Source organism: Homo sapiens, chromosome 5, assembly GCF_000001405.40.
Source record: "Homo sapiens chromosome 5, GRCh38.p14 Primary Assembly".
Lineage (NCBI taxonomy): Eukaryota > Metazoa > Chordata > Mammalia > Primates > Hominidae > Homo > Homo sapiens.
The window spans coordinates 89,934,524-89,960,512 of record NC_000005.10 but is presented as its reverse complement, the minus strand read 5'-3'; the positions used below and the strand labels follow the sequence as shown (position 1 = coordinate 89,960,512).

Genomic DNA, 25,989 nt, shown 5'->3' with positions numbered 1-25,989 from the left:
ACTGGGAGAAGATATTTGCGAAAGACATATCTGATAAATAGCTATTATCCAAAATATACAAAAAAACTCTTAAAACTCAACAATTAAAAAAAAAAACCAACAATAGGCCAAAGGCCTCAACAGATACCTCACTAAGAAAGATATACAGATGCCAAATAAGCATATGAAAAAATGCTTCACATTATATATGTCATCTGGGAAATGCAAATTAAAATGAGATACCACAACATATCTATCAGAATGGACAAAATCCCATTATCAGAACACTGACAGCACCAAATAGTGAGGTGAGGATATGGAACAACAGGAACTCTCATTCGTTGCTGGTGGGAATGCAAAACAGCGCAGCCACTTTGGAAGACAGTTTGGCAGCTTTATAAACAACTAAACATACCCTTATCATATGATCCAGCAATTGCACTCCTTGGTTTTTACCCAAAGGAGTTAAAAACTGATTTCCACACAAAAGCTTGCACATGGATGTTTATATCAACTTCATTCATAAGTGCCCAAACTTGGAAGCAACCAAGATGTCCTTCAGTAAGTGAATGGGTAAATAGATTGTGGTATATCTAGATAATGGAATACTTTTCAATGCTAAGAAGAAATGCGCTATAAGCCATGGAAAGACGTGAAAGAAACCTTAATATATATCACTATGTGAAAGAAGCCAATCGGAAAAGGCTACACTATGATTCTAACTGTATTACATTCTAGAAAAGGCAAAACTATGGAAACAGTAAAAAGACCAGTGGTTGCTAAGAGTTAGTAGGGTGAGAGGGATGAGTAGCTAGAGCACGAAGGATTTTTAGGGCAGTGAAAATACTCAATGTGATATTGTAATGAGTGGATACATGTAATTACACATTCTTCTAAACCCATAGAACATACAACACCAAGTGTGAGCCCTAATACAAACTCTGAACTTTGAGTGATAATGATGTATCAATTGCAATAAATGTACCACTCTTGTGGGTGATGTGAATAATAAGGGATGCTATACATGTGTGGGGGTAGGGGAAATATGGGATATCTCTGTACCTCCTCTCACTGTTGCTATAAATTAAAACTTCTAAAAAATTATGTCTTAAAAATAAAGTGGGTATGCAGTGTTATTCTTATATTTGATAAACCATGTTCTTACCAGCAATTCCTTTTCCACTGATGGAAAGAAACAGGTTGCTACCTATGGATGTGAGTGTCTGTGACTCTATTTCAAATCACTGACCCACATACTGTTGTATCTTGCTGAATTATTTTTGTCATCATTCATTGTGCCTGACTACAAAATTAGTCTGGATAGAACATCTGGATAAAGCATTCCACTCATCCAAGTATCAAGCAGAGTAGATGTGGGTATTCAATTCTGAAGACCAAACTTTGGCTCATCTGAATATGAGGTTAAAAAAATTATTTGGGGAGAAATATCAGGCCCACTCAACACAGATGTGGAATTCTGTGAAGTACTCATTAAAATGCCACCTGTGGGAAATGCATCTTTGAAGGGAAAAACTCAAAATTGAAGAGACTGTGTCTGGGCTCCTGTTCTTGTTGAGACTTGGCCCAAAGCTGGGTAAGATAACCATGAGAAACAGGTTGGCTTTTCATAAGGCTTTGAAACATGCCTGGTTTCCTTTTGATATGGAGAAGAATAGTCAGTTTTGTTCCATGATCTGTCATTTAACCATCTAAACTCTGACAAGGCTGAGGCCAGGGAGGCAGGGAGTTGCTTCTTCACGTGCATAAGCATAAGTTTTCTTTCTTCTCTTTTATTTTTGAGATGAGCCCGCTCTGTGGCCCAGGCTGGAGTGCAGTGGTCTGTCTCAGCTCTGCAACCTACACCTCCCAGGTTCAAGCAATTCTCCTGCCTCAGCCTCCTGAGTAGCTGGGACTACAGGTGTATGCCACCATGCTCAACTAATTTTTGCACACACACACACACACACACACACACACACTTATATACAGAGAGAGAGAGAGGAAGAGAGATGGGGTTTCACCATTTTGTTCAGGTTGGTCTTGAACTCCTCACCTCGAGAGATCTACCTGCCTTGGCCTTTCAAAGTGCTGGGATTACAGGCCTGAGCCACCGTGCCAGGCCCCCACACATAAGTTTTCTAAGGGTGTTTTGAGAAAATGTAGGCATGGGTACTTATTCCATTCAAAAAGAGATTCAGAATACAGACTTACATACTTCTCAACCTTTGAATTTTTTTTTTCTCTATTTCCTCCCTAAACTTTCTAATTGAGAAAGGAGTGAAGAATGATCCATATATTACATATAGGACAACTCTTACAGTGTTCTCAGTAATGGGTCATTTTTGTCTTGATGATGTTAACTTGGCTAAGGTGGAAAGTAAAGAAGGTATATAAATGAATTAAAAGGCCAATAAATGGATGTATGTGAAGATTAAGCATTCCTACCCAAAGCTGCATACAGGTAGTGAGGTGTTGCAGACAACACTGACTGTTTGATGACAACACTGAGCGATTAGCACTAAATTAGTCTCTTGCTGCAGGTAAAGACACATCGAGTCCTTGGGCACATCAGAAGGCACAGAGTCATTGTAGCAATAAAATATGATGGGACAGTCATGGTCACATCAGAGAGGAATATTCTAATCAAAGATATATAGAATATTCATATTCTACTCCTTTTCACAGGAAAAAATGATTCTTGTCTCCATTGCCTTTATTGGGGATAATTCCTCTCACTGATTGATTAGGAATATGAAGATAAAAGATATGATCAGAGCTTATAAGATCTCAGGAAGTGTGTAAATACATTTGACAGTGGATCTGAAATGGTTTCTTCCCTTCATTCTTAACTATTTCTTTCAAGGGATTTGGTACACTTAAAACAAGTTTCTGCATTTTCTTCTGGGAGATGATGATATTCTCTTACCTAAATGGTGAAGGAACTACAGTAGAAGGGAATGGAATGGCTGGGTGAAAAGCAGTAGTACCAACACTTTCAGACAGTATAATTGTGGTTTGGAGCAGTGTAATTGAATTTTCATGGGCCCAATATTTTCTGAATATTAATTTCAAGGCTGAGCTAAAGGGTTTGGGCTTAAATAAAGTGATTCTATGATTCTGTTATGTGAATACTTACTTGGTTCCTATCAGTGTTCTACCCTCTTCTTTGCTATTCTTAAAATAGTTCAGTGTTTTGCACACAGTATAGAGTATACATACTGGTTTATATTGATGGAAATGGCAGCTAAGGGCATTACTGGTTCAGAAAGTTTGAACCAGTCTATTGCTAAGTCTAAGGTGCTTAATTTTCTGTAACTCTTCCATTTGGACTCTGTTTCATTTTTCTTGTCTGTAATGTCTACATTGGATTGTTTCTCCAGAGGCAAGAGTATCAAGATTGAGACCCTAAGCAGTGTAGCCTTCCCTGTAAGTTCTTTCAGTTTAAGTACAACCAGTCCACTGTACAAAGTCCAGCAGGGAAACATCCTCAGAAGTATCTGTATGCCAAAATATATTTTTAAAACTTATTCTATTTATAATCTGTAATCCTTCATCTCAAGGCTGTTAGACACTGTCCTTTTATTTGAAAGCTGTTCTTTTGAGTACTGATTTTAGAACCAAAGTCTCAAAGCTTCATAGAAGGCATTCTTTTTCCTAGCTGTAAGCTATGGAGTTGATTTTAATAGTACGTCAATTGTAAAGCTGCACTAGCTATTGCAGGCTACGGCTAATTCAAAACTAAATCAGATTGGGAATACCATTTGGTGTGATTATATCATTAAACCACAATTGTCTACCTTCATGCACTCCTGGGCTTAGTATTGGTGTTGACAATAATACAAATCATAATATCTTTATCACAAGAAATGCAAAGCTCTTTAAAATGGTCTCATTATAGCATCCCTGTGAAGAACTCAGAAAATACCTTTATCTGTGTTTCCCCAGTTGAAGACAGTGATTATCACTGAATCAAAACATGAAGCAAGTTCCCAGAAGTCGGGGTTGTTAGCTCTGGAATGAGTGTTCACTTCACTTAAAGCAACTAAAGTGAAACTAGATAAAAACATAATTTTATAATCTTATTATTCTAATATTATGACTATTTTTATGTTACCGATAGGTTCCTTTTCTAAAAAGAAATACTATTTGAGTGTTAAAACTAAAACTTAAATGGTATTTTTGAGGCAATAGCAAAGCCTAACTTAACCTTGAATAGTACTGATGTAATGTTTTAATCAGATATAAATGCTCTTTAACTTTTTCCTGCTTGTCTCTATTTTAGAGATGCAGTTCTACCTCCTTGTGACTGAAATGGTCAATTCTTAGAGCTGCTCAGGCCAAGTTAAATACGTGATAACACTCTAAGGAGACAAGTGGCCATATTCAGACCAAATTATCAGAATGCTTTTTAATCCTCCATCGCATCTTTAAATTGAGTGCCATTAATACCTAGATTAGTAACCTCAAAAAGCAGGCTGCACGAGATAGGAATTCTGCTCCCAAGGTACTGCATGATTATGTTGTGAGATATTTGCAGAGAGGTTTATTTTGGGCTGGGTGAAATTAGCATCTTTGTTTACAAGAATACCCTCTTACTGATCAAGTTAAAGTACATGCCTAATAACCAGCATTTCTTAGACTTTTATGTTGCCCTTAATTAGACTCTTCAAAGTTAATTAGGGGAACAAATGGTACTTTTTGTTCTTTTAAGTCCCCTTTAACAGCTTTCTGACACATAAAATTTTCCCCCATTTATAGCTAGTTTGGCTTCTGCTTTAAACCTACTGGTTAACTGCTCATTGGTTAACTCCTCCTTCATTCACAGAACAAAAACCACACTATTTTTGAGGTGCCTCTGATCCCCCCTCTTTTCTTTCTTCCAATTTTCAAACATTAATATGGTTCATTTTTAGGTAAAAAAATTATTCATTAATTTTTTTTGTTCTTGTTTGGGAACAGCATTTTGCTCAAGGCTTAGAAACTGGCAAAACTAAATTTGTGAAACACTAGCACATGCAGGGAGACTAGGAAAGCTTTTGCCTTAGAAACTGCACAGAAAAATCGAGTTTCCACACCCCTGCTCCTGGACTTGGGGTGGGGGTGGCGGTGGTGGTGTGGGAAGTAACACTGTTTTCATTTGAATTAAAATAAAAATGATTGGCCTCATTTTGATACCTATTCTACTTTTGAATATTTTTCTTTATTTCTGTTCAAAAAAGGGCTTATTGCATACAGAAAGCTGGCTCTCAAAGTAATAAGCTAATCCATGGATGTGAGATTTTTCAGCCATGCTGTCTGTCTGCTTTGTGCCACTAATGGTAATATAAGACTATTAGAAGTGAAGCGAGTAAATGAGAAATAGTCTTTGCATTAGAGCAGGAGTCTGTCACTCTTCTGGCAACCCTGCCGAGAGCTACACATCAAAGCCACCACACTGTGCTAATAGTGTCACTTATCCCACAGCCTTTACACTGTCCCATATGCAGTTACTATGCAGGGGGTGTGCACATGAGGGTGAGAGGGGAGTTGACAACGTGCTAGAAGAAACCGTAGGAGATAAACTGAATGTGATTTATCACCTCTAATCCTTGCAATGGAAAACATTTAGGAAGAGCAAATAATTGAGGTCTTTCAGAAATATGCTTTTATTGAAAAAAAAATCCTTGAATTAATTGGAAACCTAAAAATGGAGGATTAAAATATTTTTAAAAAAGTCATGAGAAAATCTTTAATGTATTTAAATGATTGGAAGAAAGAAATTATGCTTTAAAGCAATCTCCTTAAAACTACTTAGTTTTGATTATACGCCTGAAAGAATGCTAAAAAAAAAAAAACCTTTCATTATTGTTTTTGTATATGGCAATCACAATCATGGATATCTACATAACTCAAGTTGCTGAAACAAAAATATTTCCATTAAACTGGAAGCAATCAGTGATGATATGTCTATATTCTACTTATTACCATCTTCCTTACTGGGCAAATACTATTTTTGTTGTATTTGATTTTTTTAGTCGTTGTTGTTTGTATATTTAGTAATCACTGAATGGCACCAGATTGACAGGTTGGAAAGGTGAGAACTATGGAGACAGCGTAGAGAAGTCAGGCACAGCTCTTCCAGCCACAGAAGGCAAAGCGGACCTCTTGTGCCCTTAGCTGAGCTCTGCAAAAGGTGCTGGTACCTGCTCCAGAATCTCTCTGCAAGGTCTTGGCTAAATACAATGGCCTTATTTTTAGTTCATTCAGTTGAATCATTTTCCCAGGAACTGAGCTGGCTACAAATGCTTCTGGAGTCTTTAAAACTGTCCAAAGCGTTTGGGAAAAATGGGAAGGAGAAATTCAAATGGCTGAGTTGAAGCATACCGTTATGTTTCAAACATGCGGAGAGTTAGTGTAAAAGATTTTCCAACAATATTTCTGTGACCCAGGCGAATAAAAAATGAGCATTTCAGAAAAGAAAATCACCAATGGATAGAAAAAGATGATTGCAAACAAATGAACAAACAGCCTTCATTCCTTCAAATTACCCCAAGACCTCTTTAGCAGAGTTTTGGGAATGATACCAGTTTTCCTCTCATTTGGAGGTCAAATCTGACAATTGCAACCATTGGGATGGAACTTTTAAGCAGCAAAGGAAGAAATCATAGCAAGGGTGTCCTGAAGCTTCCACATTTTAAATCTGGAGGAGTTTTTGAGTCCATGTTTTGTTTCCTGTTTAATCTTATAATCTTAACATATAGAATGATTCTATTTACAGACCATGTAGGGGCTTTGACTTCACAAAGATAAATCAAGTGAAAATCTCTTAACAAACACAAGGAAAGAGAAGTTTTAAACAGCAGAAAAAGGAAAAGATGAAAAACTTTTGGGCCCTTTCAGTCTACACACGGAAACCTGTGGTCTGACAGTGAGCTTCCATATGGGAAAATATACAAATGAAGTGAATTTTGTCAACTACAGAAAACCTGCTCCTCTCCCCGTAGTCTCATCTCAGTTAACAGCATCATAGCCTACCAAAGCTTGAACCATCATCATACCTTCCTTAGTCCTAACCTTCTCTTCCTTACCCATTCTGCGTCCAAGTCCTACTGATTGCTCCTCTTAGGTATCTCTTAATTTTATGTCTCAGTTCTCACTGCTTTGTTTTGGGGGTGACCGTACATTTGAAACCTTATTCTTCCTTCTTCATGCTCCCCATCCAGTCTCATAAGTTATAGAACATGCATGCATATCCTCTTAGTGATTGATGGCAGGGGGCTTCTGCTTCATGATTTTTTTCTGGGAGGAACTACCTATTAGTTGATCTCCTCAGTGCTAGTTCATACTGTCAGCTGTCCTCTCTCAAATCACAAGGCTGGTGCTAAAGTGTACCATGCTACTATTGTATCATCTCTAATGGCTTCTGGGAGAGCAACATTCATCATGATCAACGCTTCCCCAGTCTTCCCTCTACAAACCTTGCCACCTTCATCTCTTCTCATCTCCCACATGCCCCCTACGCTTCAGTGACGAGGAGCTTCGCACTATTCTCTGAATATGCCACTCTTTCAAACTCTGTTTTCCCAGATGCTGTTACTTTTCCTGGAGTGCCCGTCCCTCCTTTCTCTACACAGTAAACTCCCACTTATGCTGTAAGACCCAGCTCAAATGCCATCTTTTCTCTGAAAACTCTCCCACTCCTGTGAAGAAAAGCTATACTCTCCTATTCAGAGATCCACTGGCCTTTTGTGGACACCCGTATTTGATAGCTGTAGTTAGTGCCATCCCCAGACCTGGATGAGAAGGGCCCTGATTTAAAGGTCTCTGGCCCTCCTCTAGCTGGAGAGACGATCTTGGGGTCCAAGGGGTGTGCTACCCAAAGTCCTAGCCTCTCTCTTTTTGAATCATGCTCTGAATACCTGGGATTATAAAACTCTTTACCCAAACAGTAACAATCCCCTTGGAGAAACTGCCTGGAATCGTTTTCCTGGGTCTTTGCATCTGAGAGTTGTCCATGTAGTTGGTGCAAGCACCACTAGGTCTGAAGGATGAAGAGAATGTGTATTGTGGATGGAAATTAAACTTGTTGCCTAGGGTGTCCACACGCATGTGTCCAAGGGCTTTCATGGTAAAAGGCAGAATTGGGAATGGGGTAGTGTAAGAATTAAGGAACAATACAGGCCTGGGCCTGGAGGACAGTTTCTTTGATGGTATTATTTTCCAGCCTTGATCTCTAAAGAATCCAGGAATTCTAAACTTGAACCTGGTAGGTCATATTGTTAAGAAGGTATATTTGTCAAGGCATCAAAATAAAACATATTTTACTCAACTGTTTGTTAGCTTAATTCGTAACTTTTAAATATTTAGGCATCTGGTATGTGGGCCTCTATTCATATTCATTCTCAGGTCTAGCAAATGTTAGGAATGGGCCTGCTTGTAGCATAATTATTTCCTCACATCCTTATCTCTCTGACTGGCCTGTGAATTCTGAGAGGGCTGGGACTGCTTTTTTGTCTTTGTTAATCTTTTTATCCAATAGTTAACCATCTTGCTTGGCAAAGACTAATCTTTTAAAATATATTTGTTGATACAAAGATTATATTCGTAATATTTAGTTTATAAAAGCAAGAATGTGTATGACACACTTCAAAGAACAATGTTGAGACTGGTTAAAGGGAAAAACCTCTGTGATAACTTCATGAAATGATGAGGAGTACAGTTGTTTTTAGACAATAAAAGAGTGATACGTGACTTTAGAAGTTAGAGTATAAAACATGCAGTTAATTAGCTCTAAAACTGATCCTATGTCCTCAAGTTCTCTAATGACTAACCCTACAATAGCATATTGTAAATAAAAGCCATGCATATTCAGCCACCTCTGTGGAAGGAAAAAAAGGGAAAAGAGTTTAACAACAGTTAAACATCTACTCCAAGATGGACACTCTTTCAGCTGTTCTATACACACTGTCTTACTTAATCCTCAGAACAACACACTGAAGCATGTACTATTACCCCTATTTTATGGATGAGAGAATTAAAATTCAGTAAATTTCAATAACTTGCCCAAGGCCACAAAATGTGTAATTAACAGAGCCAAAATTTGAACCCCGGTGTAAAGCCTATGCTCTTTTGATCAGAGCTGCAGTAACAAAGATTATTAGCATGAATTTGCCTTGGAAATTGTCAACCATCAAGACTTGAGACTTTTGGTACCATTGAGACAAATATTGAGCCCACATTGATGAAGCATTATTCTTTCAGAAAACAACAATTTGCGTGTGTTCTATATACAGAACACCAGGTAAGGCACTATGAAGAACTATAAAAGAAATATATACATACATACATAGATGTACACATATGCATATATATGTGTGTGTGTGTGTTCATTTCTCAATTGTTTGACTATTAATTGGAACCTTTAATTAAGAGTTCTATTTTTATAAGAAAAAGGAAAATAATGATAAAACCAAATTGTAACAGCACATAGTTTTTAAGAGTATATTCTGGTGTTGAAAATCAGTCAACTCAACCTCTTATCCCTACTACAAATATAGTTTCACTACTGAATGAGAATAATTTCATATATGCTATGGTAATCTTGAGTACCGTGATATTCTTAATCATTAAAATCTGATTCATGTTTACTAAAACTTATAGGGGTAGGAAAACATATTCATAAATGTATTTGAGGAAAAGTGTTATAAGAAAATGAAAAGTTTTATTTATCTTTCAATCTTACCCTTACTGGGGTCTTTATTTCTTTTCTAGCTTTAAAATATCTAGTCAAAGTAAAGCATTTCTCTCAAATCTATTGACAAAATTTCTTAAAAGTCATTATTACAATTCTCATTGCACAGAGCTGCACACACATCATGAGATGAAGGTATAAGAATACATTTTTCAATAGCTTTGATCCCTATGTGTGGCTACTGACATAATAATTTACTATTAATATATTTTTCTCAAAAATATATTTTGCAATTTTATACTTCTAAGACTGATTATTCATGTATGAACCTATAACTTGGGGGATGACAGGAGCAAGTTTTCAGTGTTCATGGCACATCTTCTCCTTGGGCAGAATAGTAAGCTATTTATATCTTGGGATATCCAATATCACAATTAGATTCACTCACTCTTTGAACTTGTCTCCTTGTTTACCCTCACCATTTCAACTCCTGCACTCCACGCTGAATGTTATCTGAAATCCCACTTCTGGAATGTAATTTATCTAGCTTGGATCCTATTAAAATGGAAATATAACCAAGAGTGAAAAGAATGAGTGAATAAGAAAATGAATGAAAAGATAAAATTGCTATTGAGTCAGATTTTTTTCCTGACAATTGTCCTTGATAGTGAGGACAAAGGCCTAGGTTCAATATGATTGAAGAGATTAAGAAGGAGAAAATTCTAGGAAACATAGATCCACAGAAAGAGTAGTTTAAGAATTATTTAAAAAAACACCTGGCCAATTATTCACTTTTGCAAAAACCTTGATGTGAGTGACCATTTCTATTTCATCTATGGTTATAGATTGAACATTACTTCTGCCAAACACAAGCCATTTGTTATTGGAGGGAATAGTGGTCTCTGGACAAAGAAACTTTCAAGTGTCAACCCCTTAGTTTAGAATACTTACCCTGCTCTGCCAAACCAAGTGTCTCCATGTCTAATTTTTATCCTTCATTCACTGGAGAATACAAAGTCCTTTGATGTTTCTTGGGTCCAGGAGAGAAAATGTTGAAAGGAAAAAGTACAAAATTGAGAAGCCCTTGTAGCACCACCTTCTTGAATTTTCTTCTCAACTTCCTCTTGCTCCTTTTTCCCCATGTTTCTTTTCTTTTCTTTTATTTTTTATTTTACTTTAAGTTCTGGGATACATGTGCACGTTTCTTTTAATATGGGTTTCTAAGGGAGTTTTTCTCTCTCTGAAGGACTGCAAATAAAAATACACAGCATTTGGGTCCTAAATTCATTTAATAGATAAACTTTCTCATTCAATGGCTCATGGAACAATGTGACAATGAATATGTTGTAGCTCAGGCCACTATGACAAAATATTATAGACAGAGTGGCTTAAACAACAGACATTTATTTCTCATAGTTCTGGAGGCTGGAAAGTCCAAGATGGAGGTGTTGGCAGATTTGGTTCTGGGTGAGGGCTCTCTTTTGGCTTGCATATAGATGCCTTCTCTCTGTATCCTCACATGCCAAAAAGAGGAATCTCTGATGTCTCTTCCTTTTCTTATAAGGGCATTAATACCATCATGGGGGTCCACACTCATGACCTCACCTAAACCTAATTACCTTCAAAAAGGCCCATTTCCTGATACTGCTTTTGCTATTATTAATAGGACTTCTTTCTCAAGTGTTGAACCACATAGACTTCTGCTTTTCTTGTTCTACTCTCATAATTCAGTGGGTACTGCGCTACAGATTTTGTTTTCAGTTCACCTTCCAAGCTCTCTTTATCTCTTCTTTGCAAAATCTCTCCCCATTTTTCTCTTACTTTCCTACTTACTCTTACATTAAATCTGTTTTCTGTAAGGAGCAATTACCAGTCTTAACCAGCATTCTGTTTAATACAGTGTCACAAAGGAAAAATAAATTATTGATATAGATTTATTATCTAAGAATTTATTTTCATCTTTTTTGAATCCCGTTAAAGTTCAATGATAGCATTTTAAAACTTAACTAGGTCTTAAAAATCATCAATCAATTAAGCATATGCTCATTATACAGATATACAGATAAGGACACTGAGATATACAGAAGTGAAATAACTTTCCAATGGTCATGTACCAGAGCTAGAACACAGTTCTCCACAGCAGTATTCTTTGTCTAGCCATTATTGCAGTGTTTTATTTCTCCAAATTTTTTTCTCTCTTTCCAAATTTGGCTGTTACTTCCATTGGGAAGCATTGAATTAAGTCTGAAGTTTAGGTGCAATTATGCCTGGGTAGATCAGGTTGGACTACACTAGTGATGAAAATTAGCACTTGTGTGTGTGTTGGGCTTAAAATAAGTGAAGACTAATGGAAATCATCCAGTGCACCTAAAAGCAATTTAACATTCCCTTCCCTTTGCTTTGGTTTGAAAGTAATCTATATATTTGGGGAGTTCTGAGTGAATCTAAAAAAGGCAGGTGCTTACATTCTCTGAAGCTACAATTAAAAACAATCTTGTTTCTCATGGGCTTGGGGTATCAGATACACATACCATACACATACATTTCTATTTGAGTATAAAAATTGTAAGTGTGTGTGTGTCTGCATGTGTGGGTATTTAAGGTGTTATGGACTATGTTTGAATCAACTTGACTCCAACCATATGGGATTTAGTAGAAATAAAAGGTGGAAGAAATATGTAGTTCATGCAAATTCACTTAAAAATTAAATTTGGATGGGTCAATTATCTGTAAATAAGAATCAACTACATTGTTCAGGTATACATTTCAGTCTCATCTTCCTTCTTACCCTGAAACCAAAATTAGCACCTCATTTTTGAATTAAGACTCTGAAAAGATTAGCTTTCTGTAATGATTGGGGTAGAGACTTTGAAGCGGAGATCTAAAAGGCATGTGTTTCAGAATTAAATGCTCAGGAAATTTCCATATAGCAATTATTCTGAGCCTTATAGATTTGGTGGCTATTGCAGAATACTTAAGCATACAGATAACTCTCTAATGGTAAAAGATGAATGTAAAAGCTATTCAATTTTTAAATATTTTTCTTTCATTTATCTTTGAGCTTTTTCTCTCCCATCTCCGTCTTGCTCATTGCACTCCAGATAAATTGACCCTTTTACTGCAGCATGTGCTGTTCCCTTGCCTAGAATGCTGTTCCTCCAGAAGGTCACATGGCTTATAGTCTCACATTAAGCACCTGCTCAAGAATCACACACTCAGAAAAACCTTTGTTGACCATAGTCTCAAAAGTAGCATCCCAACACTCTTAATTCCTTCTCCCTGCTTTATGTATTTTCATAGTATTTATCACTAACCATTTTTAATATGTTGGTTTGGTCATTTGTTTTTGTCTGTTGTTCCAGTAGAGCGTAAGTTTAATGAGAATGGGGACTTTGTTTTGTTCCCTTCTTATCTCTGGGGCCCAGAAAAGTGGCTGTTCTAAGAGCTAAAAAAGAAAACCCATTTTTAAATACGGGAATATTTCCTGAATGAATATTATCTGTTTCACCTTCATAGGGCACCTGCCACATGTGGGGGACATGTGCCTCGGAAGGAGTTCTGGTTAGAAGCTGCGATATCTATTCTTTTTCTAAAACTTCTTTTTCTTTCAAAGAAGTTGAATCTGAAGAATTTTGTAACTTTGGATTCAGTTTTTTACTATCAAATTAAAGCTAAAAATGCTGCCAGGAAGGAGGGAAAGCCAGATTGGAGGGGGAGGAGGCGAGAGGTAGAAGAAGGGGAAGCAGAGAGTTGGGGGAGGAGATGGCTGAAAGATCCAGGAAACCTGAGGAGAGGCAACAAAAACCAATTAAAGTTAATGAACTACAGCTAAGCTTTTTATTTTAGTTTTTTCCCCCTCACAGTATACCAGCCTTAACTTGGAATTATTTTTCTTGGAGAGACACTTTCAAAAAAGTAGACTATTTCCTCCCTACCCCCATGCTCAGAAAAATAATATAACACTTTAATCAACAAAAGCATGAGGGTATGTTTTGTGCAGCTATCTAGTGGATTTGTCACTTGGCCTTCAGCCTTAGTTCTACCACCTACTAAATTCTGGCAAAATCCCAGAATGTCACAAATCCTGTTCTCCTCTATCTTCACATAAGCTGAAAGTCGGCCCTACTGAGTAGTTATCTGGAGGCAGGAGGCGGAGGTCCAATTGTAGTATCTAATATTAGAAATAGAGACGCCTCCAATGGTTTTTGGCAGACTGAGCCTACAAAGAGTGGCTCTGGCTTTCCTACTCAAACGTCTTAAATAGTTTATATATCTGTTTGATTAATTTGGCTGGAAACATGATTGCAGTTAATGTATTAGGTATAAAAGTTTAGAGGAAGAGTCTTATGTCAATGATACCCCCATTTTCTAGAATAACTTATTCTATCAAGCCAGCTATGTTTTAATGATGAATCCTACTGATAATAAGAACCTACCTTATATTTATTATTTTTTATTATCCACAGAACCCCCCCTCCCAAATTTGAATATGAATGAAATGTACTTCACTAACATTTTCTATTCATTCAACATTTTGGCAAAGTATCACATTCAAATTTATGATTCCATTCTATAATGCAAAAGTGGTATACACTGATCTAAATTATTTCAAGATATTTTAAAATCTGAGCCTTTGACACTCAGGTTTCCCACTTGAAATAGAGTTTCAAATGCTCTGCTTTCAAATAATCTCTTCTTCAACCTCTTGCCTTCACCTCAGGCTTGAAATCATAGAATTTTTTTCTATGTTATTTCTCAGCTTCCCATTTAATTCTATTCATTTCTTTTTTGACTTTTAAATGATATATAATAGTTGTCTTTTCTCAAAGAGTTTAAAAGTTATGAAGGTAAGCGTGGCCTTACTAAATATTTGGCTGAATGCTGGCTTCTCTCTCCATCTACCCAATCTCTTCTCTATATTTGACAGTTGCATCAGAATCTCACGGTGCTCACTATTGCTTAAGGAAGCACATCCTTTGTTGGGAAAATCTAATGCTTAGAAAGTTGGTGAAAAACGCATATACCATAACTTCTACTCATTGATCTTGGCTCACTTGTTGATTCATTAATTCATTCATTTATACATGCACTCAATAATCATCTTAAAATTCTACCACATATAGAGGCTGTCACAGCTCAAGGCCCTAGAGGGTCACAAAATTATACTATTCTGGTACACACTACCTTCCTATTCTGAGTGGGAAAGAGAAAAAAACTACATTTGTAAATATAAGTATTCCCACTTCTACTTATCCTGACACAATATAATTTTAAATTGTATTCTGTTTCTGGTCACTCTCCTCCAGAAAAGCCTTTGTATGTCAATGTCCCACTTAAAATGTGCATCCAAATATGAGTGGGCTTTTTTCACATTTAAAGAAGAGTAAAACTGTTAACTCCCACATTTGAACACATGCTTTTTCTTAATATAAAAAATATAAAAGGGCTTTTTTCTTTCATGTATTTCAGTGTTGGTCATCATTTACTTTTATATGATCTGAAAACTTTAGATTTGGAAATCAAAATAAAGTACAATTAGGTCAGAAATTCTCCATGTTGCTTTTGTATAGTGTGTGTGTGTGTGTGTGTGTGTGTGTGAGAGAGAGAGAGAGAGAGAGATTAACGCAACCCTCAATTTTGTTTTTAAAATTTTTCCATATTGAAGTTCATCTTGTCAAATGATTATTCTTCCTACCTATATAGAGTGTGCTTATAACTAATGTAAATAAGATGAGCATTCCACTTACTAACAGTAAAAAATAAACAGATAATTTACAAAATAGTGAAGACTAATGTCCAATACACATATACAAATTTAGTCCTCAATTACAATAAAAATGTAAAGTGAAAGCTTAATAAAATATAATTTTTTACTCACCAAATTGCCAAAGGTTGATTACTTTGTTTTCAAATGTTGATTCAATACTCAAGGTAAGGAAGCCAAATGCATTTATTTATTACTTGTTTAGGTATAAGTATAGTCATTACAATCTTTTCAGAAGCCATGGAAAATAAAGAGGAAGAGGTGATCATTAATAACATTCCTTGGGTCATATTCTAATAATATAAATGAGGAATATAATTAATAATTTATGCACAAAACAGCTTAGCATTGTTTATGACAATAAAATTTCAAAGTAGTTAGACATCCAACAATAAGAAAATGAATAAATGAGTCATACATACCACCAATGAAACATTGCAGTTATTTACTGCCATTTAAAAATATTTAATAACATGAAAGACCCTTTCATTATAATCTTGAGAAGACAATAAGATATTAAATTATATTTAAACTGTAACTTTCATGAATTCAAGGGTATTTGTCTGTTTTATTTATAGCTGACTGTCCCCAGTACCTAGAATATTGCCAGGTGCTAGCAGGCATGCCGTGCATATATGCATATAAGAAGTAATGAATGGATATGCAGAATGTTTTCATTTAAAAATACATACATACACACACACACACACAATATAAGAAGAAATATCATGAAAATATCAGCAAAGTCCATCTCAGCGTTGGCCATTATAACACATTTTACTTTTTATATCTTCAGCAGTTTCCAAATTTTTTATATTTTATAACTGGAGAATATTTACTGAACCAATAGCTTCGTTCGCTTCAACCAATAATTCCAGCTTGTGGAAATATTTTTTATTTTTGTGCTTCTGTAGTTAAATTCTGAAGCCATCCCTAATAAATTTGGCATATTTGCCTTTCAATTGTCTACTTTCTGAATAGGATAGAATCCTTTACAGTACTAGATCATTCCCTACAGTTTGAACAAGCTTTAGAACAATGATCTAAATGATTTTAAACCTACCTTCTGCCAAATGTGTTAGAATGTGGGGATCAGCCCATACCCTTCTACCTTGTTCATGATGATTTGTAAAATGTTGTTAACAACTTTTTGGTGGCAAAATACATGTGTATAGATTTCATCCTGACTTGTATGTCTAGCTAGGAAGCTTCTCAGAAAAAAAATAATAAGAAGAAGGTTAGTTTGGCTGAGTTTGATCTTTGTGATCCTTGCAGCAATTGTCTCTCTCTTTTTTAATTTTTATGTGCCAAATATTTGAAGATTGTAATCAGTTTCAGAATTTTGTTTGTATAATGTCAAGCAACTTTCTCTTCTTTACATTATCTACATTTTTGAAGATGAGTAAAACATCCGCTTGTCTCCTGAGTAGCACCTAGATACTTCTCCTTGATGCTGTAGTCTAAGAGAATTCACCAAGGATCGGCTTACTTTCACATTTGCATTGTTGAGTAAATTGCTTTTCACAAATAACCTTAGAGATGCCTTTCAGTTTGCCTGGATGTTGTTCACTAGGTTTAAATACTTAAATACATTTTAGATGGTAAAATGTTTTCTTACTATACTTTCGCATTTTTAATTTTCTAATTCAATGCTTATTTTGCATTTACCTGTAGGAGCTCATTCTAAGGATTATGGAGATAAACCATGGAAAGGGGTAAGACTCCTTTGTTGTTTCCTATGAAAACTGACAATAACACCATTACCTCTTGAGATTATTCTTTAACCCGTCTGCAGCTAAATTTTCTGTGCCATCTTTTACATTTCCGCCATATTGGAGGGATATGTTTTCTCTTAACTTTCTATTTTGAAATAATTTCAGAATGACAGAAAAAAACAGCACAAGTAATTAAACTTCATCTAGACTCCCTAAATGGTAATCTCATCCTATCCCCTTTTGTTAAACTGTTAGAGAGTAAGTATTGCCTCTTTACATCTAAATGTTTCTGTGTGTATTTTCCTAAAAAATTAAGAATGTTCTTTTATACAGCCAGAGTATAATTACACAAATCAGGAAATTGGCTTTTATACAAAACTATACTCAATTATAATTGTGTGTGTATGTGTGTGTGTGTGTGTGTGTGTATAGTAAATGATAGTACAAAAAACTTACATGTTGCCAGTTATTCTAATAATGTTTTTTATAGAAAAATAGATATTCGTTCTGGTCCAGGATCACGTGTTGTATTTAGTTGTCATACATTTTGAGTCTTTTTTATTCTGAAGTAATTCTTCAGTATTTCTTTGTTTTTCATGACCTTGACATTTTTCAAGAGTATAGACCAGTTATTTTGTAATATGTCCCTCAATCTTTTTGTTTGTCTGGTATTACTTCATGATTAGATTCAGATTGGGCATTTTTAGCAGGAATACCATGAAGTGATGTTATGTCATTCTCAGGAGGCACTTGATGTCCATTTGTCCCACTAATGGTGAATTAACTTTGATCATTTGGTTAAGGTGGTATCTGCCAGTTTTCTCCCATAGTTACTATCTCCTCCTCCATAATTAATAAGTATCTTGTGGGGAGATACTTTCAGACTTTGTAAATATCTTTTCTCATCAAATATTCACCCTCTTGTTTTAGTATCTATTGATCATTTGTGCTTGAGTCAAATGTTACAATAATTATTTCCACATGGTGAATTTCTAATTTCAAATTTTTTAAAAATTCATTACTTGGCATTTTTTTCTATAGAGATGAGCTTTTCAATTCCCCTTTTAAACTATCTATTTACTTCTTTATATTAGAATGGACTTGTGGATTCTTATATTCATTTAATTAAATTAAATTATTACTATTGTATTATTATTTATCACGATGCACAATTTGTCCCAGATTTGGCCAATGGGAGCTCCATTCAAAAGTATTTTTTGTGTATCTTAACATGTCCTCATTTTGGGGGGGAAGGGGATAAAGGGAGTGATTTCTTTCTTTCTGGACTTAAAGATGTTCCAAGCACATCTTGTATTTTCCCAGACCCAACCTTGGCATAAGCCAATTTTCCAAGAAGTCCTGTTTTCTTCTAGTATAAAATAATATTTAGAAACCAAAGTAAGAATGATAGGTGTGGTTATTGTTACTGAAGTACCATTGTTTCTAGGCTGTTTTGGACACATACACACACCTGTACACACACACACACACACACACACACACACACACACACACACACACTGCTGTATCTATTTCATTAACTATCTACTTATCTGTCCATCCTTCCATGAGTTCATATGGATACCTTCAGTCAGAGTTCCAGTCTTCCTTCTTTCCATAATTGTAATTCTCTTCTTTGACAGTGACAAATATGCCTGGCTATCTCTATTTTGATATGTCAGAGATGGCCTGCTTTTCTACTTAGAAACCCTTGACAAAGTTTTGAAGTTACAAATTAAATTATTGAGGATAGGGTAAGACAAAGAGGTAGCAATATATTGGAGACAATTATGGAGAATACTGAGTTTCCTGCACATTTTCCCATCTACTTTCAATCTATTGCCCTCTCCCTTCCTTTACCACTGGGATTTTTAAGCTTCTACATAGTTGGATTATTTTAAAGATTATCTTCAGACAGTGGTCTTCCTTTTCCCACTGAGAGTCTCTGTCTATTGAATAGCTGGCGTGAGTCTTTGACTGCATTCTGTATGTGGTAAGGTCAGCAGCCATGCACCAAGGGGTGGACCAGTGGGAGTAGTCCAGCCCAGTCACAGGCTATCCAGGGATCTATGTCTGTAAAGAATTTAAAAACAATAATAAAACCAAATAAAATCACTCTGATTTATGTTATAACCATGCCTCAGCAATATTCAACCTTTTAGTGATAAAATACTCTTTCATGATGGGGTAGGATTCTTCTATCTTGTCCCACTGGTACACCCTTTGAGGTCAGTCAAAATGATTCCACTGACACTACATGAAAATACAGCTAGACTGTGCCATTGTCACTATGTTCTTCTATGTGCTTCCAAAATAATGTTTTGTATTTATTTAAACTTCCTAATGGAGAATTATTTTATAGTTATCATCTCTTGCTATCAGGTTTAAGGCACTGAATACATTGCTACAATTATTGATGTCCAAAGGTGAATGATGAACACACCTTTTAAAAGAAAAAGACGTTCTCATTGTGCATTTGGATGTACATCCTTGAACCCTGGTTGGAGAAGAGATGATTTATGGAACACATGTTTAATGTCTAAAAGTAGTTTGTTCAATTGTGAATGATCACTTCAAAAGAGTTTCTTTATAACTGGTAAAGTATTTGTTTTTAAGCTTACCATCAAAATGAGGGATAATATACAAAAAACAATTCTCATGGACCTTTCTAATTCTCAAGGATCCGGTCTCAGATACTAATTTGAGAGATTCCAGGACAGATTTTTAAATTGTCCTCCTGTGTCATTCAAAGAAACATCTCACATATATTTTTTTTCCAGAAATGCATTTGCATCTGAGAACATCTGCAACAGTTGGAAAAAAAAAACATGCTTAAAAAAATTCGCTTTAATCTTTCTATAGATATCAGATATTCTCACAGATTCTGTGATGTGTGATATATTAGCTTTACTGAAGAAATACCATTCATCCCCATGTCTTGAGTAGCGTCCATGTGAACTGAAAATGTATCAACTTTGTTAATATCCTTAAATTCTTCTTTCAAAATTATGAAGAGGATCTAGAATGAGATTGGGTCATGATAGAAACCATTTTATAGATCAAGTGACTGTGATCACTACGATTTTGGAAGAGATATACTTAAGTAATATAAGAAGCAGGTCCAAGTTATGTATTCCCTAACACTTTATAAAAAGACTATGCGAACAATATCTAGAATTATCTAACAGGTAGGAGATAAAAAGTTCCAGATAGAAGAGTAATTACTTCCTATACTGTCCATTGGAGAAGTAATATTTAAAATTAATTGACTACATTACCACAAATTTAAGTTTTTCTTTATGCTTTTGTGAAAATAGAATTGGCTGAGGCCTTGTGGGGCCCTTAATTGCTTTTTGCATAGGAGGAAAAATGAATGATTGTTCTATTTATTGGTAGAAACTTATTAACTCTGAAATTTCTAGTTTTAGAATTTATTTAATTTGATTTTGATCTATCACTGTTTAGAGGTGGAGCTTAAACTGAATATCTATTTAAAATGGAGGTGTGCAATCTGAATTCCTTGTAAGTTTTTTAGCATATTTAAATTATACTTAATTCAAAATGTTTAAAGAATTGACAACATTGTTTGGATGCCAATGGGTGTCCTTCAACAAATTCACATTAAAACAAAACTGTATTTTATTAAAAATATTAAGTACTTTGGAACCTCTACTAATTCTGATCAACTCTTCCTTAATTTAGTCACAGCATAGCTGTTTTACTGCCTGAAGATCAGATTCCAATCTAATTCCCTCATCAACTAGCTTTGTGAGGTTAAGAATTTAGTTAATCTCTCTCAAACTCAACTTAATCATATAAGATAAAAATACTAGTTCCTCCTCAGTCTGTCTTACAGTATTATGGAAAGATCAAATGAGACTAATGCATTTGAAAGTGTTTTGTAATTTACAAAACACTATATAAATTTAAGTATTATTTTTATTTGTGATATACAAAATATTTTAGGAACCTATCTATATTTGAATTAAGTACATCCTAAAAATGATTACTTCAAACAATCTTTTTCAATCTTGAATGTGCATAAACCCACCAGGAAGTCTTGTTAAAACAGAGAGTGGTGGTTCTATTCTGATCTGGAGTGGGGGCCTGAGAATTTGTCTTTCCAACAGGTTTCCAGGAGATGCTGCAATTGCTGGTCCAGGAAACATGCTTTAAGAACTGCTGACCTAGGATGTTGCGGTGCATTTTCCCATAAGTAACAAATACCTAGCAAACAATACCACTGAAAATATTGAAAATACACTACATTTACCTCGTTAAGTTCTTTCATTATGCTTTTCTCAAGTTTTATCTCCATTTCCAGTAAAATAATAGCCCCATTGAATCAGACTGAAAGTATTAATATTTTAGTTAATCTTCAGCGTATTTTGTGCTATAGCTTCCTAGCTCTGATCATGAGATCATTTTCAGTTGAGTCCATGACTGAGAGTATTTGTCCCAATACTTACTGCTATTTGAACATGATGAGTCTGTAGATAGTACTTTAATTCCTTTGTGTGTCTTTTTTTAATTAAAAAGGAAAATCATAAATACCCAGACTTTTTCAAAAATTCAAATATTCTCCAAAAGAGGTGATTTAAACCAGAAGAAAGGACAACGGCAGACCTCTGTTACTTAGTTTCCCACCCATGTATGAGGAGCACATATGTTGTGAATTAAGTTATTTTCAGAATATTTCACTTTTTCACACTTCAGGGAGGCCATATATATTTTAATAAATCTCCAGACAAACTATGGTAATTCTCTCTGAAGATGAACTTACCACAGTAATAGAAATTATAAATAAAAATTTTTTTGATGATGAAAGAAAATGATATATACCTGAGACTACACCAGGTGGAATAGGAACACCTAGAAGGGATCTATTTAGACTGTGTAAGGTTCATTGACCTTAAAATTAAATTAATTCTGTGTATTTTTCATAAAATGACCCTGCATGTACTGAGAACAAAATAACTTGGATAGTAACTCTTGTTTAAGTTTTCTATTTAAAAACCAGATTCTAAGATCAAGGCTTTAGGGAAGTTGGCTGAATTAGATGATTTCTTTTTTCCTTTTTATATGTATTGTTTTACCAGGGACAGATTCTTTCTTAAATTAGACTAGTTCTTTTCATACAGTGTCTTCAGGAAGTAGAGTTGGACCAAATGGTAAGAAATACCATCCAGAGAGTTTATACATGTTGAAATGCATGGCTAAAAGAAAAATATATTTTGGCTATTTTTATGATTCTGTAGGAAAACATACCTTCTGGTTCTCTACCCTTAGCATGAATCATCAAAGGGAGCTGAAACAGGTAATGGTCTAAAATTTTATAAATATTCACAGTGTTATGTGATTGGCTCTTAAAGAAGGTTATGCCAAGGTTGTCTCACTCTTCTAGAGCACATGGCCACTCCACAGACATTATGTAAAACACCTGGAACGTAAAAAGCACTTTTTAAAAACAAAGATTGAATGAATCTTAAGTGCATCTGATTTCATTTCAGGAATTATATTTCCTAGATAAGATGCCTAGGTTATTGTAATTTGGCCTGTACAGAAACCCAGCTTTATTTTTAAGAAATCTCAGACTTCAAAGATTCATCTGCTAATTCATCTTTGATAAGTTGTTTTTGAGAATTCTGGTAGTTCATCTTTGGTAAGTAATTTTTGAAATGATATCAATGAAGTATTAATCCTACTTTAATCTAGATAAGAAGTCACCACACAAACAATACATTATGATTTTAATTGCAAGATAATAAAATTTATCATTCAAATAAGATCCAGCACAAACATATAATGTATGACATACATACCTCGTTATTATAGATGGAAACCAATACTATCCCTAGATTTCTCCTACTGATAAAAATACCCCTTATTCCAGGGCCCTCAATTTATGAAAGTCTGCAGTTGAGTGCCAAGAAATATGTTGAAACCCAGGAGAATAAGCCATATTTAGAATGCCAAACAGAAGTACACAAAAGGTACAAATCAAAGAGTCCCTGCAGAGTTACAGAGGAGGAGAATCTGGCCTGTGGCTCAGGTTAGGAAGCAAAAAAATGAAACAGAAAAACAAATATCATCTGCTGTGTGATAATGAATAAAGAAGTTATGCAATGGAAGTAGAAAATTGTCTTTATTATTTTAACGTAGACATTGGTTCCAAGATGTCCAATCTGGTTTTGAATATTTTTCAAAATAGGACTTGTGACTCCATGTTAACATGTGGCAGGATCTAACAGACATCATCAGCCTTTCCTGGTGGATTCTAGTTTGAATGGAAAATTCTGATGCCAAATTGAGTTTGTTTTGTATCACTTAATTTCTTCACATGGTTTTTGTAGAACATTTCTAGTATCTCTGTGTATTAACCTGGTGCTTAAATATCATTTTTCCCCTACAAAGAGATGGCTCCTTTCTATATGTGTGATTAGATATTATATCTTATATCATTTGAAATCTCACAGTTTGAGCATATGTCTGCTATTCCTCTTCTTGGAGTCTCTTTCTTTTCCAAGTAATTTCTTTTTTAGTTTGGATTACATGTACTATTGCCTAGTTGACAAACCGAATGACTCAGAAAGACATCTTTCTTGATTACTACATAACGATGGATAAAGATAAATGATTCACACATTTGTGTTCTGCAATTGATGATAAATGTCAAAGACACATTTTTTTTTGCTTGCCTCTCCCTGCAATAATAATGATGGCCATCAACTTTTTCAGTATTAACTTTCAAGGCAGTATCTTTGGGGAATCACAGTTACCGGTTATTGAAGGACTAGAAGGACTGTTCACTAAGGCATAACTATATTGGTTTAGGGCCTTAAGTTCAATGACTTGATTGGTAAAATTTTGGTTTAACTTCTTCATGGTTATGTACATTTATAATTTAGTAGATGCTTGGGAAAAAATAAATAAAATTCAAAAATCAGTATTTAATGACACCCACTGTCAGTAGCCTCAAATTTTGCCACTTGGACTATTAATATTCTAAACATCTATTACATCAAATGTAAATGGGCTTCATTATGTCTATTCTGAACTGACTCTGTAATTTCCATTTCTGTCTGTTTTTCTGTCTGTACTAAATTGGGTTGATATATGCACCTCTGTTCTCACTCACATTTAAATTAAATTCCCTCATTGCAGAATTTAAAATTAGGCCTGTCCTGTTTTTGATTTTAAATGTCAGGTTCTTGGGAAGACACTAGCCTAATGGGCCTGTTGATAATCACTCAATCAATCAATACAAGTTTCCCTTTGTTTTTATTGTGTCAGTTTAATACAGACTATTAGACTTATCTCCTTCTTTGAACTTCTGCAGTCCTTCCAGGGTGTTCAGTATTGATCTGTGCTTTGTTCACCTTCTTCTTGTGACATTTGAGAGGGACCAGAAAGTCACAATTAGATTGTAATCCCTCAACTGTGGTAAGAATGGATTAGGTGTTAGCCAATTACTGCTCTTCTAACATTAATTCTCAGAGGGTGGGGCTCCTCTTGTGAAGTTTTCTCAGATCCTGCCAATCATTGTCAGGAGCTTTTAAATAGAAACACTTTTCAACACTTCAGAAGCTCCTGAAAAAGACTTGTACATTTTTCTTTTGTTGTCTCTTTAGCTTTCTCACTGCTAATGACTACTGCCAAGATGTATAAATGGAATGGTTTAGCTAAGAAAGGAATCTATCGGAGATTTGAAAAGTCTCCTGCTCTACTACAATTTTTCTCTCATTTTGTGATTGAGTTGGGACAGGAAGTACAAGATAGGGAAACAGAGGATTTCTTTATGCTAATATATTTGAACCACCAGAGAGCAGTTGATTCCCTAGGACAAGTTTCCGGCCTGTCTCACTGCTTGAGATCCAAAAACTTAAACTCTTTGGGAAAGAAGATTTACACCTGCTGAGATTGAATATGGATGTCTGGAGTTCTTGAGAACAAATCTTATCTGGCTTCCATACTTTAGGGAAATAAAAAGCAAAGCGATATTTATATTTTTCAATTTGCAAAGAACTAAGGTTATCATATTAATAATCATGAAGGGAAGAGTAATAAATTAGTACCAGTTTGGAGGGATTTTCCTGGTTGAGTGCTGAAAATCCCATGTCCCGGAAACCTCCTCAGTCTAGAGCAAACCAGAACAGTTGGTCACCCAAGAAAGGGATATGAGAATGCTGGAGCCACTTTCCATTTTCTTTATTTCATTTGGCTTCTCTTGAATTAAATGTTTGGATTTGTGCATTCAGCATCTTATTATTGTATGTTTATAAGTACATACATGTATTTCATATTTCCCTTTTATTAAATTGATTTTTATAAGGATGTGGTAGACATATTACAGAAGAGGAGAAGAGGTATTGAATATTTAAAACTGTGGACTCCAACAACCACTTTCATGGAGAAAATGAAGCAGTTCACGTTTATAGGAGATTTTTGGAACGTAGGTCAAGGTGTATTTAAACAAAGAGTCACTGATATTTCCACACTCATGTTTAGACACATATTTATTTTCTTAAAATTAATGTTCCATAATGTGACCTGATATTGCGCAAAGGGAGGTGTTAATTTGTCTTGAGAAATCCATCGAGTGAAGGATCTACCTTGAGATTTGATTTTGTATCTCTATCAACACAGATGATATGTGACTATGTTTACAAAAGTTGGCGTATATGCAGAAACCAAGATGGGAATTTGAGTCTCTTTGAAATTTTCTTAGATCAATTTAATAAAATATGCATGAAGATATATTTTCTTGGAGCTCCTGATTGGGCTGGTCTGAGTTGATGCAGTGTGCTGTTATAATGGCAGAGGAACTGAGCAATGAATAGTGGGGACGTATGGGAGCGCTG

At 35.1% G+C, this 25,989-nt stretch overlaps 1 long non-coding RNA gene across 3 annotated transcripts in view; it reads right to left on the bottom strand.

The window, feature by feature from the left end:
- LOC102724637 (uncharacterized) overlaps positions 1-25,989 on the bottom strand; it is a 71,709-nt gene that overhangs the window by 13,488 nt on the left and 32,232 nt on the right. For 2 of the 3 annotated variants that reach the window (NR_188242.1, NR_188243.1), the window contains exons 3-4: positions 15,528-15,640; positions 10,601-10,897 (exon numbers count right to left, since the gene is read on the bottom strand). This is a non-coding gene — a long non-coding RNA (uncharacterized LOC102724637). Of the gene's footprint in view, positions 1-9,659; positions 10,205-10,600; positions 10,898-15,527; positions 15,641-25,989 lie in introns of those variants that run through there. The other variant, NR_188244.1, reaches the window with a different exon arrangement.